Source organism: Homo sapiens, chromosome 1, assembly GCF_000001405.40.
Source record: "Homo sapiens chromosome 1, GRCh38.p14 Primary Assembly".
NCBI lineage: Eukaryota > Metazoa > Chordata > Mammalia > Primates > Hominidae > Homo > Homo sapiens.
The window spans coordinates 19,812,707-19,828,298 of record NC_000001.11 but is presented as its reverse complement, the minus strand read 5'-3'; the positions used below and the strand labels follow the sequence as shown (position 1 = coordinate 19,828,298).

General features: G+C 47.0%; 1 protein-coding gene and 1 long non-coding RNA gene across 2 annotated transcripts, besides 1 other annotated feature; one reads left to right on the top strand and one right to left on the bottom strand.

Annotated features, from left to right (window-relative positions):
• Nucleotides 1-8,796: 8,796 nt before the first annotated feature.
• RNF186-AS1 (RNF186 antisense RNA 1) lies at nt 8,797-13,890 on the bottom strand. The gene is made up of 2 exons (NR_186008.1): nt 13,746-13,890; nt 8,797-9,056 (listed from the first exon to the last, which is right to left on the bottom strand). It is a non-coding gene; the product is annotated as an RNF186 antisense RNA 1 (long non-coding RNA).
• Nucleotides 11,024-11,555: an enhancer, noted in NCBI's record as "OCT4-NANOG-H3K27ac-H3K4me1 hESC enhancer chr1:20143237-20143768 (GRCh37/hg19 assembly coordinates)". NCBI's record gives its function as "activates a minimal SCP1, AML or CMV promoter by ChIP-STARR-seq in primed H9 embryonic stem cells {active_cell/tissue: H9 hESC(primed)}" and the evidence as "EXISTENCE:reporter gene assay evidence [ECO:0000049][PMID:30033119]".
• On the top strand, nt 13,016-14,270 carry RNF186 (ring finger protein 186). The gene has a single exon (NM_019062.2). The coding sequence runs from the start codon at nt 13,198-13,200 to the stop codon at nt 13,879-13,881; it is 684 nt and encodes a 227-aa protein (NP_061935.1). The 5' UTR covers nt 13,016-13,197; the 3' UTR covers nt 13,882-14,270.
• Nucleotides 14,271-15,592: the final 1,322 nt, after the last annotated feature.

Sequence of the window (15,592 nt, the reverse complement as noted above, 5' to 3'; positions counted from 1 at the left end):
TAAGGCACTTAGAATAGTCAAAATCATGGACAGAAAGTAAAGTGGTGGTTCCAGGGGTTAAGAGAGAGGAGAATGGGGAGTTATTGTTTAATGGGTGTAGAGTTTCAGTTTTGCAAGATGAAGAGTATGGAGATGGATGGTGGTGAGGGTTGCACAATATTATGAAAGCATTTAATACCACTGAATTATCCACTTAAAAATGGTTAAAATGGGCTGGGCACAGTGGCTCATGCCTGTAATCCTAGCACTTTGGGAGGCCAAGATGGGCACATCACCTGAGGTCTGGAGTTTGAGACCAACCTGACCAACATGGTGAAACCCCGTCTCTACTAAAAATACAAAATTAGTCGAGTGTGGTGGCGCATGCCTGTAATCCCAGCTACTCGGGAGGCTGAGGCAGGAGAATCGCTTGAACCCAGGAGGCGGAGGTTGCAGGGAGCCAAGATCGTGCCATTGCACTCCATTACACTTCAACAAGAGCGAAACTCCATCTCAAAAAAAAAAAAAAAGGTTAAAATGATAAATTTTCTGTTATATATATTTTATCATAATGAAAAAGGAGAAAAATACTGTAAAGGTAAAAGAATTTTGGCTGGGTGCGGTGGCTCACACCTGTAATCCCAGCACTTTGGAAGGTCGAGGCAGGTGGATCACCTGAGGTCAGGAGTTTGAGACCAGCCTGGCCAACATGGTGAAACCCCATCTCTACTAAAAGTACAAAAATTAGCCAGGCATGGTGGTGCATGCCTGTAATCCCAGCTACTTGGGAGGCTGAGGCAGGAGAATCGCTTGAACCCAGGAGGCAGAGTTTGCAGTAAGCCGAGATCGCACCACTGCACTCTGGCCTGCTCAATGGAGCAAGACTGTGTATAAAAAAAAAGAAGAAGAAGAAGTTTATGGTACATACCAATATATCCACCGTCTAGATTCTACCATCAATATTCTATTATACTTGCTTCATTGCTTATCTAATCATCCTTCTAACCATTCATCAACTCATCTTATTTTTTTATGTAATTCAAAGTAAATTGCAGATACCAATACACTTCTCCTTAAATTCTTTAGTATGTGTGTCAATACCTATTATACAATATTTGTTTATATTTCCTTTCTTTTGAGGCAAAATTTACATACAATGAAATGCACAAATTCTGGGTATACACTCCTCTTCTCTTAAAATTATTAAATCAGGCTTTAATTCCCACCATTCCACCAATGACCTCCATGTTAAATCCAATGGGCAATCTTTAGCCCTTGATTTACTTATGCAATAGAAGCAGCATTTGACCTGGTTGATCACGCCCTCCTTTCTTTCTTTCTTTGACTCCCAGAACACCATCTTTTTCTCTTATCTCATGGGTTACTTCTCAGGGGTTGGGCTTTGAGGAGAGAGCAGAGAGTGTGAAAAAACGAAGTGGAGAAGGGACAGTGAATGGTCTAGGGACATAGTGGGTACTTGCCTAGCAGCATTGAAGGCTCATTGGAAGATCCCAGTTGAAATTTGAAAGTGAGGCCAAGCCTGGCGCAGTGGTTCATGTCTATCATCCTAAAACTTTGGGTGGCAGAGGTGGGAGGTGGAGGCCAGCAGTTCGAGACCAGCCCGAGCAACACAGTGAGACTCTGTCTCTACGAAAAAAATAAAAATAAAAAAAACTGGGCACAGAGGTGTACCTGCAGTCCCAGCTACTCAGGAGACTGAGATGGGAGGATCACTTAAGCCCAGAAAGTGGAGGCTGCAGTGAACTATGTTCCACCACTGCACTCCAGCCTGGACAATAGAACAAGATCTTGTCTCAAAATATATATACCTAATATAATAAAAATAACCGCCTCTCAAAAATAATAAATAAAGTGTGGAGAACTGGTTTGTATCAAAGAGTTGGTGATTGTAATCATTGGGATTATTAAATATTGGAGAAGGCAAGGGATGAGGATATTGAGGGTTGAGGGGCCATGAAACTCTCACAGGAACACTGGGAGTGCCGGTGTCCAAGGATTGTCAGAGTTTGAGGACTAAAGAGAATGGGCTAGAAAGATAGGAAGTGGCAGGTAGAGAGCTGGATGCATGAAGCTGATACTACGACTTATTGGTAAAAACAAAATATGCTCATTGGAGCAAGGGGCTGAGGTTGAGTGGAGGTTGAGATCACTGAGGGAGTGATGGGGAAGAACTGAGGGCCTGGGGTTTGGAGATCACCAACATGTGAAATCATTATGAATTAAGGCTGGAGTCAGGGGAGAAAGCAACGGTGAGCTGGGAGCCCAGACCATGGAAGAATGAGGGAGAATGAGCGAGAAGTCAGCAAAAGACCAGGACAAAGTCCAGGTACAGTGGCTCACACCTGTAATCTCAGCAGTTTGGGAGGGCAAGGCAGATGGATCATTTGCGGTCAGGAGTTCAAGACCAGCCTAGCCAACATGGCGAAACCCTTGTCTGTACTAAAAATACAAAAAAAAAATTGCCAAGCGTGGTGGTGCACACCTGTAATCCCAGCTACTCAGGAGACTGAGGCAGGAGAATCGCTCGAACCTGGAAGGCAAAGGTTGCAGTGAGCCTAGATTGTACCACTGAACTCCAGCCTAGGTGGTGACAGAGTGAGACTTCATCTCAAAAAAAAAAGACAAGGACAAGGAGGAGTGGGGGAATGTGTCATCTGATGACACGAGGGTCAAGCGGAGTGGTTTTAGGATAAGGGGAAAGAGAAGGGTCTATATATGGCAGTAAGGGAGCAAGGAAGGCACCTGCCCCACCTGCAGGCCCAGCAGTGCCAGCGTTGTGAGAGGAAAAGCAGCCTCTGCTGGAGAGGGCAGCAGGCCAGAGTCCCAGGGGGGCTGGGCTTCTGTGAGAGCCACAGAGTGAAAGGAACTCGGAGAAGTCAGCATGTTGGGATTCTTGCTGATAATCGAGGTGAACTCCAGAGGGCAGCATGGAAAGTTGGCAGGGAGGGGTGGGGAAGGGGACTGAATAGAACGTGACAGAGCCTTTTGGAGATTCACAAGCCCAATGTGAGGAATGACCTGGAAGTCTGGGGTCCTGAGGTTATTGTGAACCAGGAGTATTGGGAGTAGCAAGGGTTGGGTGTCTGGGGCTCCCTCTACCCCTGAGGGCACATGATCATGCTCATGGCTTGTGGCTAAAGGAGAAGTGAGCTCAGGGTGCTGTCCTCCATGCAGACCCCCATTGAGAACGTTGCTTCTGGGAGGCACTGTGACACTAAGCATGGTCCCCTCTTCACCCAAGATGACAAGGGTAGAAGACCTAGGGCAGGGAGGTCTCTATCTTCCCTCAAGTTTTCTTCTTGATCCTGAATAATACAGAAACTTTGCATTGACTGAGAAACTCTTATGCTCCAAGCACTATGTTCGGTGCTTTTTCCACACATTATCTCCAAGCCTCATGCAATTCTATAAAGTAGACAATACTATCCCCTTTCTACAGATAAAGAAATCAAGGCAGGAAAGAAAACAACAGAAGAGCCACAGGAAGTCGCTTCTCACCAAGGGGGAGTAAATGACTAACCCATGAAGCACTCAACAAATGGCAGCTCTTGCAAGAGCCACGTGGTCAAAATCCACCCAAAGCTAAACCACCTCTGGACTTCTCAGTCACATGAGCCAAGAAATGCCCTTTATTTGTGGGTTCTGCCAGCTTGAGTGGAATTTTCCAACTCTTATAACCAAAATAAGATTCCTGACACAAACGCTATTTTGATCTCCATTAGGCAGATGAAGAAACAAAATAAGTTGGTTCTTGGAAGACACACAGCTAAGATTTGAAGACAGGTCTGTCCAATATGCTAGTCTATTGAAAAACAGCCTCCCACCCTCCACTCAAAGCCCATGAGCTCAGGACCCTCTCTTATTTTGAGTTGAGTGTCTTCCTCCCAGGAGAACTCTGGGAAGGCCAAGACTGGACATTTTGGGAAATAAAGAGGGGCTAGTTTGGCAACCTTATGTGCTTGGGCTGATTTCACCATGGATAGCAGTTTAATGGATCAAAGACCATGCTTGGGATGATTAATTTTTACATGGTCCAGTAGTCCAGACCCCGGGTCTGTGCTCCCTGGAATGTGACGAGCAGAGGACAGGTGGAGAAGTGTTCTCACAAAGGCACATGCTGTCTCCAAGCTTTCGGTATCCAGGACAGCATGAGTCGAAAGAGGCAAAAGCCCAGGGGTTTAATCTTGAGAAAGCCCGAGGATGCCAGGTTACACACCTACACTCTCCCCCTACCTCTGCCTGCTGTCCTATAGTTGCCAATTCTTTCTCTGAGTTTTTCTTTATTTTTTCTTTTTCTTTTTTTTTTTTTTTGAGACAGAGTGTTGCTCTGTTGCCCAGGCTGGAGTGCAGTGGCACTATCTGGGCTCACTGCAACCTCCGCCTCCTGGGTTCAAGCGATTCTTCTGCCTCAGCCTCTCGAGTAGCTGAAATTACAGGTGTGTGCCACTACACCCAGCTAATTTTTGTATTTTTAGTAGAGACAGGGTTTCGCCATGTTGGCCAGGCTGGTCTCCAACTCCTAACCTCAGGTAATCCACCCGCCTCGGCCTCCCAAAGTGCTGGGATTACAGGCGTGAGCCCCCGCACCCAACCTTCTTTATTTATTTTCTTCTTCTTTTTCTACCTTTCCTCTTTCCACAATTGTTTATAAGAAATATACACAAGTGAGGCCAGGTGTGGTGGCTCACGCCTGTAATCCCAGCACATTAGGAGGCCGAGGCAGGCAGATTACTTGAAGCCAGGAGATTGAGATCAGCCTGGCCAACATGGGGAAATCCCGTCTCTACTAAAATACAAAAATGAGCCAAGTGTGGTGGCGGGCATCTATAATTTCAGCTACTTGGGAGGCTGAGGCGTAACAATCACTTGAACCCAGGAGGTGGAGGTTACGGTGAGCTGAGATCGTGCCACTACACTCCAGCCTGGGTGACAGAGAGAAACTCTGTCTTAAAAAAAATAGAAAGAAATATATTCAAGTGAAATATAAATACAAAAACCAAACATCAGGCACCAGGAGAGGGTAAACTATAAACTAGGATAGAAAATATAGACTAAAAGGATGGAGATGGAATGCAGCATCACATGCAAAAAGTGACATTTCACGGTAGCTATTGTTGAGCTTCCTGGTGGCCAAAGCAAAAATGGAAAACAGTCAATTATGTAGTTCAGAATATCTGAGTAGTGAGAACAGACACAATTTGCAGTCAGAGGAAGCAAAAAGCTTTTTCCAACACTTGGCCCCAAAAGAAAATTTTCACATGCTCTGTTTAGGTGATACTGAATACTGTCATATAGCATCCCAGGCCACATCCTGAAGGCAAATGCAGTAACAGTTTTCTTAACCCTATTTCCTAACGCATCCTTTGAAGGAAGCTAACAGAATAGTCCCAAAATACAACTCAATGAGAGTGATTAGAAAGCCCAGAGTCAAATGCAACTTTCTAATGGCTTAGCTTGATCCCTCAGCATTTCCTAAACTGTGTCTCTCAGAACCCCAGAGTTGTACATAGCATTAAGAAGTGTTTTGTATGAAAAGAGTTCCACAGGCAAATTAAAGTCAGGAGTAAACAAAATCAAGCAGGTGTTTTAACTGCTGGATTTCTAAAAGCTTTTAATGCTCTAATGCCCATTGTGAATCTCCAAGGTCAAGTGAAGGATGCATTATTTCTCAAACTGATTTGTCTGTGGAACTCTCTTCTTCACCCACCCCCAGATTTTTTCAGAAGTACCTTTTAGAAGCTCACAGAAAACTAGAGATGCATGAACCACAGTTTAAGAAGTACTGATCTGGAGGAACAGATGAGCTAAATTCCTCCAGATAAAAATGTCTCTCCGCCAGGTGTTTGATTAGAGTTGATCATCTATGGTTTAAGGCAGTAGTGCCTGACAAAGCCCAGACCTCAGATGTTTTGATTTGTCAGCCAAAGACATATCATGCATCTTATTCATGCATCTACTCCCATGAATAAGTAAGAACAACTCTTCCCAAAACTCTTCTCTTCCAGGATTCCCATTCTTAATCCAAACAGTGGAGGATGAGGGAAAGAGGTTATGGAGGGTAAAGACAAGAACGTCTCACACCAGGTGAGATGATCCATCTCTGCCAAGTGGGAGCCTGCTCTCCCACTGGAGCCTGGGCCAAGTGCAAAGGTGGGATTCCCTTTGCCCACTAGCTTAGCCTTAAGCTTAGATCCAAGTTTGGCACCTGCACTACTGCCAAAAAGGCAGAGATACAAGATGACATACATATCACAGTGTTGAAAGGGCCAGGGGTTAGGGCTGGGTCAGGGTCAGGGTCAGGATCATAGAATTGAGGGAACAGTTAAGAATGGAATTTCAAGACAGGCCAGATGTGTCCCAGGAGATGGTCAGAAACTAAGAGAACAATCAGAAGGAGGTCACAGATAAGGGTGGGAGGGATGAGAAAGTTTAGAGATGGCAGTGGGAAATGGGTCCAGACCCTAGAATTATTCCAAACTCAAAGAACATGTAGTCCTAGAGGTTCGTCGTCTGATTTCTATAACCTCCGGGGTAGGTACACTGTAATAATTCTGAGTTGGACAAAAATTTTTTTTTCTGTTGCTGCTTAGCTAATAATTCCAACCTTCTGGCTTAAACCAGGTTCATAAACAGGTCATCACAGATCCAAGTTTTAAGACCTGAACCACTGTCCAAAAGGCAGAGAAAGAAGATAACATACATAATACAATTTTGAAAAGGCCAAAAATGAAAAGTGCACATCCAAGGATACCCATCACAGGACTGTTGATAACAGTGAAAAATGGAAACAGTCTAAATATTTAACTCATAGGAGTTGATGAATTAAAATATGGTACATTCACATGATGGAATAATATACAACCTTCAGGAATGATTTGAAATGTATTTATTAATATGGAAAGAGATGTACTGATAATCTATTAAGTAAAAATATAAATTACTAAAATGTAAATAGTAGATTCCCATTTTGGTGGGGGCGGGGGTGTACGGGGGAGGTCTGTAGAAGTATACACAGAAAGCAGTCTAGGCCGGGCGTGGTGGCTCACGCCTGTAATCCCAACACTTTGGGAGGCTGAGGCAAGCAGATCACCTGAGGTCAGGAGTTCGAGACCAGCGTGGCCAACATGGTGAAACCCTGTCTCTACTAAAAATACAGAAAATTAGCAGGGCGTTGTGGCGGACACCTGTAACCCCAGCTACTCGGGAGGCTGAGACAGGAGAATCACTTGAACCTGGGAGGTGGAGGTTGCCATGAGCTGAGATCTTGCCATTGCACTCCAGCCTGGGCAACTAGAGTGAAACTTTGTCTAAAAAAAAAAAAAAAACAAGAAAGAAACAAGCAGTCTAAAAGGAAATATTCAGAATTAACTCTCCTTCTCTGTGGGCTGTGAGATTACTGATTACTGATGTCTTTTTCTTTTTGTTCATCAGTAATCCCTTTTTTTTTTTTTTACAATCAACGTGTATTTTTTAACATAATTATTTTTAAACAACAGAAAAAAAAGACAGTTTAGGCTGCGCGCGATGGCTCACGACTGTAATCGCAACACTTTGGGTGGCTGAGGTGGGTGGATCACTTGAGGTCACGAGTTCGAGACCAACCTGGACAACATGGTGAAACACCGTCTCCACTAAAAATACAAAAAAAAATTAGCTGGGCATGGTGGCACATGCCTGTAGTCCCAGGTACTCAAGCGGCTGAGGCAGGAGAATCTCTTGAACCCGTGAGGCGGAGGTTGCAGTGAGCCAAGATTGCACCATTGCACTCCAGCCTGGGCAACAAGAGCAAAACTGCATCTCAAAAAAAAAAAAAAAAAAAGACGGAAGATTTGAGTCCAGGGAGTGAGGTCAGTAGTAGTAATGGCCCCCCTGCCCCATTCACAAGCCTCTGTCATTTCATTGGCTCCTCAGTAAGGAGACAGGGCAGGTGTCCATTTCACAGACGGAGAGAACTGAGGCCTAGAGAGGTTAAGCGACTTGGCCACTGACTGCCTGTCGGTGGTGAGTTCAGAGCTCTAGCCCAGTGAGTGCCCTCCATCTCAAAAAAAAAAAAAAAAAAGACAGTGTAGTTTTCCAACTTCCTGCAGTTTGTGCCCGAGGCATTCACTATCTCTGTTACATTGTCTTTCTCTCTATACAGTCATAATTTTCTCATTATTGTTATTTTGGTTCCAGATCCCTTTCTTCTGTCTCCTTGGCAATCTATCCTCAGACACGCAGATTCTTGGTGAGGGGTGGGGGTGGGGGTGGGGGGCTGAAAATAGGGATGGAGCCTGCCATGCTCTAAGGAGCACAGAGGCGAGAATTCTGGGACAAGAGTGTGAGCTGAGATGGTTTCCATTCAGCCCAAGGCAAGGAGGAGTGGAGAGCAACTCGGCGTTTGGCTGGGACCTGGCTCCCTGTGTTCACTGGAGTGTGGGGTGAGGGTCAGCTGATCAGGACAGAGGCCAAAGATGAGTGGACAGTTTGATCTCAGAACAGTGCTGCCACCTGACTCCTTTCTGACTTGACGGGAGGCCTAAAATTCAGATCAGACATGTTTTTGCAAAGGTACATGGGTGTGTGGTTCCTTGCACATGTGATTTCCAACATGATCTTCCTCAACTGGACTGGCTCCGGCTCCCCAGCCTGCAGCTAGGCTTGAAATTTCACCCCAACATGAGACTGTGTTTCTCACGATGGAGTGCGTATGACCCCAGGGCTGTGAGAAGCCATAAGATGGAAGAAACTGCATTTCAAATGAAAAAAGAAAAAAAAGCTTTACTCAAGATTAATGAGTTCATATTTGTACAGCAATTAAAACAAACAAATATGTTTTATTTGGAGATTTGGAAGGATTCGTGCATGCTTCGGGATTCTAATGTTGCAGTAAGCACAAATAGAACATGGAGAAGAATGTGAAACCTAGATGAATTTAACATTTTAAGTCTCCGGAGACACTTTTGAATTCCCCTGGGGTAGATCTGCTTCAGGCTCCACCTCAGACTCTGCCCATATTCACTCCTCTTCAAGAAGCATTGGCCGAATCAGTCACCAAAGTGTCTTATCTCATGTCCCTGGAAGAGATCAATTTCACCTAGGTCAGTTACAACCCAAAGTACATAAATTACTAAGCCTCCTGTGAGCAGGTTGTAGTCAGGGGTGGAGGGCTTAAATAATCCATAATTTCCTCAAGTGTTAACGTCTCCATTTTGTTTTATTTTATTTTATTTACTTTTTTTTAAATACAGAGTGTCACTCTGTCACCCAGGCTGGAGTGCAGTGGCACGATCTTGGCTCACGCAACTGCGACCTCCCAGGCTCAAGCTATCCTCCTGCCTCGGCCTCCCAAGTAGCTGGGGCTACAGGTATGCACCACCAGGCCCAGCTATTTTTTGTATTTTTAGTAGAGATAGGGTTGCACCTCATTGCCCAGGCCGGTCTCGAACTCCTGAGCTCAAGCGATCCACCCACCTCTGCTTCCCAAAGTGCTGGGATTACAGGCTTGAGTCACTGTGCCCGGCCTCCATTTTATCAAATTTTAAAACTGAACTGCAGTGAAGTTAAAATTCTTGCCCAAGGTCACATAGCTGGTAAAGTGACAGGAGCCAGATTTCCAGCTATAGTCAGTGCTGGTGATAGTTAAGGCAAGGCACTTTTGAGAAACAAAGTTGTTCCTAAGCCAAGATGGTAGGAGGAGGACAACAGGAAGGAATGCTCTGTTAACAGTGGTCATTTCTCAGGGGTTGCAGTAAGATGAACTTTCACATTCTACTTTATTTCTGTAATACTTGGGTTGTTCCAGCCAATATGTTTTCTTAACGGTGGTTGCCCAATGATGTTAAAAGGTTATTTTTTAGGCTCTAACCCCAAATAACTTCCCTTGGTCTGATTTCAACCTCACTCAGCTACCTTCTGACAATTTGATTTCCCATTAAGCTGGCTAGAGAGAGAGGCACTGGCCGGCTGGGTGAAGCGGCTCATGCCTGTAATCCTAGCATTTTGGGAGGCTGAGGCAGGTGAATCACCTGAGGTCAGGAGTTTGAGACCGATCTGGCCAACATAGTGAAAGCCCATCTCCACTAAAAATACAATATTAGCCGGGTGTGGTGGCACACGCCTGTAGTCCCAGCTACTCAGGAGGCTGAGACAAGAGAATCGCTTGAGCCCGGGAGGCAGAGGTCGCACTCCAGCCTGGGCAAGACAGAGCGAGACTCTATCTCAAAAAAAAGTGAGAGGGACACTGGCCAAGCCAACATCACTGTGTGGCCCACCTGATTTTCTATTCTTATTATAAATGAATGTGGCTCAACACATTTTTCTCCTCTCATCCCTAATCCATCCTAGGGTCTCACAAACAGAAAATAACATTATGCAATGCAAGTCCAAGCAGAGAAAACACAGAATCTCTTCTAGCATGGTAACACACAGGCATTCGGTCACTCTTGTCCGTGTACAAAGTCTGGTTGTCTCATCAATGCCTGACCCTTTGTCAGAGAGCAAGTAAAGGCTTCTTTTCTTCATCCATTGCTGTGTTACATAGAGGTCTTTCACTTGCAAGGGACAGAAGTTCAATTTGAACTGACTTAAGAATAAAAATCAGGGTAGATTTTATAGGTTAATATCCTTGAAAAAATCCAATGCTAGGTGTCCTGCTTCAGGTGTTCAAATAACATCATCAGGCCTTTGTCTGATTCTTTTCTCATTTTTCTTTTGTGCTGACCTTACTCTTGAGCAGGTTCTCTGCACACTGTGGTCCTGGCAGCCCCAGGGTTCCATCCTCTAACTTAGAAACCCAGCACAAAGAGAAACTTCTCAAGGGCTCCAACAGAAGTCTCAGAATTGAATCTCATTGGCTTGGCTTCGATTATATGCCTACGCTCAAACCAATGGCTGCAGCTAGCAGAGCAGAGCATGCTAACTGGCCTGTCCTGAATTGTATCAGGGCCCCACTTCCAGAGAGCTGGAGCCAGACATCACCCTCTCCGTGAGCACAGAATGACGGTGGGAAGCAGTGGTTGCCCAAAGTGAAAACAGAGAACTGTTACCCAAAAAAGGGGAAAGAATGCTAGGCATGGGGGAAAAAACATGCCTAGATCCAAGGCCACCTTCAGCTTGATCTGGGGGAAAACGTGATATAGATGTGTATCTATACCTTAGTATCTGAGACAGGTCTCAGTTAATTTAGAAAGTTTATTTTGCCAAGGTTGAGGACACATGTCCGTGACACAGCCTCAGGAGGTCCTGATGACATGTGCCCAAGGTGGACAGAGCACAGCTTGGTTTTATACGTTTTAGAGGGACATGAGACATCAATCAACATATGTAAAATGAACATTGGTTCCATCTGAAAAGGTGGAGCAACTTGAAGCAAAGGCAGGAAGACCTGAAGTGGGGAAGGGGCTTCCAGGTCACAGGTGGATAAGAATGGTTACATTCTTTTGAGTTTCTGATTAGCATCTCCAAAGGAGGCAATCAGATATGCATTTGTCTCAGTGAGCAGAGAGGTGACTTTGAATAGAATGGGAGGCAGGCTGGCCCTAAGCAGTTTCCAGCTTGACTTTCCCTTGTGGCTTAGTGATTTTGGGGCCCCACGATTTATTTTCCTTTCACAGAGGTAACTGATGGTCTAGCTACAGGTTGAGAAGAAATGGGATGGGATGGTGAGAGTATTGGATTTCAGAGATAGAGGGCCCAGGGGGAGTGGGGAGGTGGGAGTTACCGATCCCACAAGGGAGGGAGCCCCTTTGGGGCTGGTGACTCCAGGACACAGAGGGTGGCCTGCAGTGCCAGCTACTGGGGTAAGGGAAAGAGCTGAATCAGAGGCACAGGACTCTGTGTGGCCCTTGGCAGGTGACATGAGCACCAAAGGATCCTTCACACGGGCTTCTGAGTTCAGAGTGGCCTGAATGAAACATTTGTTTGAGGGAGTGCACATGCCACCCCGCCATTTGCCCTTGAGGGCAAAGTAAGGAAATCACGTTTTCCTAACTGCTGTGTTACTAATATCTGCCTGTCTCACATGAGTCCTCTTAGCCTACGCCACCCGGCTGGGGCCAGTTGTGTCCAAATGAACCAATGAAATTGATTCAACCAGACCTTGGACGCTGGTAGATTCCACAAGGTCCTGCTCCATGGAAGGCCCCTTGGCAGGCAGCCAGCAGCCTACCCTGACCACACCCTGCCCTTGTTTCCCAGCCTTCCCTACAAGGCTGTATCAGGGTTCCGGGAAATGGGGGCTGGGGACCCCGGGCACAGGGCTTGGCTTAGAGTAGGCCCAAATAAATGGCAGCTGTTCTTAGTACTACTGGATACGCAGCATGCCTAGCACAAAACAGGACACCTGTGATTAGGCATGTGAAGTGTGCAGCAGGGCACCGATGGGAAGTTCATACACCCGTAACTGTGAATACAACAGCTGTGGCTCTAAGGAAATGAATACAGTAGCAGGTGCCAAACACCTGTGCGCTGTATGTGGTTTTGTTTTTCTGCGTTGGGTTGGGCTTTGTCCTCCTTCCACTCACTTTTCTTACCTCTCCCCTCCTCTTTCCAAGGCCACCTGCCTGTAAATGTGCTCCAAGTGCAAACAAACTTTTTTCCACTCATCCTGACATCCAAAAGTTTGTGTCTGAGAAAGCAGTGTCCACCAATCCACCTATGTCCGACTCATAGGGCTGTCTGTTTATTGTGCAGATTTGTAGATGCCAGTGAGCCAAGATCGGGCCACTGCACTCCAACCTGAGAGAACGAGACTCCGTCTCAAAAAAAAAAAAAAAAGTTAAATAAAAAAAATTAATAAAAGGTTCAGGGACCTGGGAAGTGGGGGTGAGAGAGTTGGATTCTGCTGCCTCCTAAAGCTTGAGCCACAGTTCTGTGGGCACCCACCAGGTACCTGGCCCCAACAGGAAAGTCCTGATTCACTAGACCCTTGCCCACTTTGCCCTCCTATCAGGCAATTCAAAGTCTCCAGACCCGCAAGTTACTGATTAACCCTAGGTTTTGAGAAAATAAATAATAATAACTGAAGGGACGACGTAAGCCAAGAAACAAGCTGGGCAGCTCTGGGAGAGAGGAGTGTCAGACAGCTGTTGTCAACAGGCACCTGGCCAGAGTGAAAAGGAGGGGCAGATTCCATCCAAGTCCCAGCGGCGCCAGCTGACACTCTCTGCCAATGCCCAGGTGCTGAGCGACAGTGTCCCACCGGTCCCTGTGCCCAGAATGGCCTGCACCAAGACCCTGCAACAGTCCCAGCCCATCTCCGCAGGAGCCACCACAACCACCACCGCTGTGGCCCCTGCTGGGGGTCATTCTGGCTCCACAGAATGTGACCTGGAGTGTCTGGTGTGCCGGGAGCCCTACAGCTGTCCCCGGTTGCCCAAGCTGCTGGCCTGCCAGCATGCCTTCTGCGCCATCTGCCTGAAGCTCCTGCTGTGCGTGCAGGACAACACCTGGTCCATCACCTGCCCGCTGTGCCGCAAGGTCACCGCCGTCCCCGGGGGCCTCATCTGCAGCCTGCGCGACCATGAGGCGGTGGTGGGGCAGCTGGCCCAGCCATGCACAGAGGTATCGCTCTGTCCTCAGGGGCTGGTGGATCCTGCTGACTTGGCAGCAGGACACCCCAGCTTGGTGGGAGAGGATGGACAGGATGAAGTAAGTGCAAACCACGTGGCAGCCCGGCGCCTGGCCGCGCACCTACTCCTGCTGGCCTTGCTCATTATCCTCATCGGGCCCTTCATCTACCCGGGTGTCTTACGATGGGTGCTCACCTTCATCATCGCCCTGGCCCTGCTGATGTCCACCCTCTTCTGCTGTCTCCCCAGCACCCGGGGCAGCTGCTGGCCCTCCTCCAGGACTCTCTTCTGCAGAGAGCAGAAACACAGCCACATCTCTTCCATTGCCTGAGTGCCCTCTGATGAGGCTATCCCTGCAGCCCTTTCTGCCCTTGGGCCCCCGGACTTCCACAATGAACAGGGTAAGGGGTTACGGACTAAGACTGGCTCCTTTGGGAAATCACATGCCAGCGGGACTTGCAAGCCACAACCGAGATGGCCAGCCTGGGTCAAGAATTACACGCTTGGATGACAGGCTTGCACTTGCCCTTGGGATAGCATAGCTAAAACTGTTGGTGGCTAGGGGAGCAGACACAAACTACTTGAACATGACAAGATGGGGGAAGCTCCTGTTCCTCTTATTCCAATGTTCTTGGTTTTTCTTTATATAACTTGATGAAAGTATTGCAGTATTGATGCCATTGTAGAATAGAACTGGAATTCCATTCTTTTTGCAATTTATGTAGCTGGTTTTGTTTTCTTGTTTTCCTTTGTTTTTTTGGGTTTGGGGCAGCAGTTGGTTCACATTTCCCTTTGTTACACATTTTCCCTCCTGGGAGCTTGGAGTCCACGGGGAGGTCCCACTGCGCTTCCTCTAACACTGAGCATCTCATGCCCAGCCTAGCCTCGGCAAGTGTCCTGGTTGTTTAGGTCTCCCATGGAGTTGACCCTAGGGTTGGGGAGACAAAATGTGTGTGAAGGGATGGTGTTTCTGAAGCTGCAGGGGGAGTCCCACATTTAGCTGGCAGAGATGGGGAGGGGTGGAGAGGGCAGGGTTTGGGAATTGCTCCCAGTATCCTCACTAGGAGTTCCCCACTCCGTGCCACTAGGCCCTGACTTAGCAGCAAATCTCGGGGTTACAAGGACTGCAGTCCACATACAGTGGGGCCAGCTGCCCATCTATTGCACAGTCCCACACGGTAGAACTAGATCTTTATGGATGTTACCGTCTTTGTTATTGCATCTCAAGTACTAGTTAAGCTTTTGTCATAAAGATAAGAGGCCCCATAAATGCAACGGTCCTCACCAATAACCCCACTTTTCCCACCTCACCCTGTGAGTCGCAAGCTTTTTTCGTGCCTTCTTTCCACCACGTCTGCTTCTTAACACAGGGGAGGCATTGGCTGGGGGAAACGACTTTCCATGGTTGCCAGGGGCAGGCCTCAGCCGGGTGTTTATGTGGGAGTGCAGATGAGCAGAGGATGGGAGGAGACATACTATTTCCTTCCAAAAGCCCCATAAATGGGAAACATTCTTGAAACCTCAGAGGAGTGCTGTTGTCTCAGGGCAAGTCCGACACCCATGCCATTGGCCCTAATGGCGACTGGTGCTGAGACAGTATGAGTGTGTGTGGGCATGCACAGACCCACGGCTTTAAGCCAGACCAAGTGGGCCTGAAGAACACCATGTCTCCCAAGCTGAAGAGGGTCACTGGGCATTTCCTGAGCTGGCCCCGGGCATGTCAGTTTGGGATGGCTGCCAGTGGGATAGGCAAGGAACATTCCCTCCCAACTCACTTCCCTTCTATTCGATCTGTAATATTTCTCAGACCCTTCGCCAAGATCAAAACCTCCCCCCAATGTTTCAGTTGCTAATGACACCATTTCTACCATAATAATGGTGGTTACTTGTTTATCCAGTACTTACTCTGTGCCAAGTACTGCAATAACTGCTTTCCATGCACTAGTTAATCTTCGCAATAACCTTATGAAGTACAGGCCATTACTATCTCTCTCTTGCGGAGGAGGAGATTGAGGATCACAGAGGTGAATTCGCCTGCCTAA

Bases quoted from the DNA above. Each gene is read 5' to 3' on its own strand.
- RNF186 (NM_019062.2), top strand. From the start codon at position 13,198: ATGGCCTGCACCAAGACCCTGCAACAGTCCCAGCCCATCTCCGCAGGA.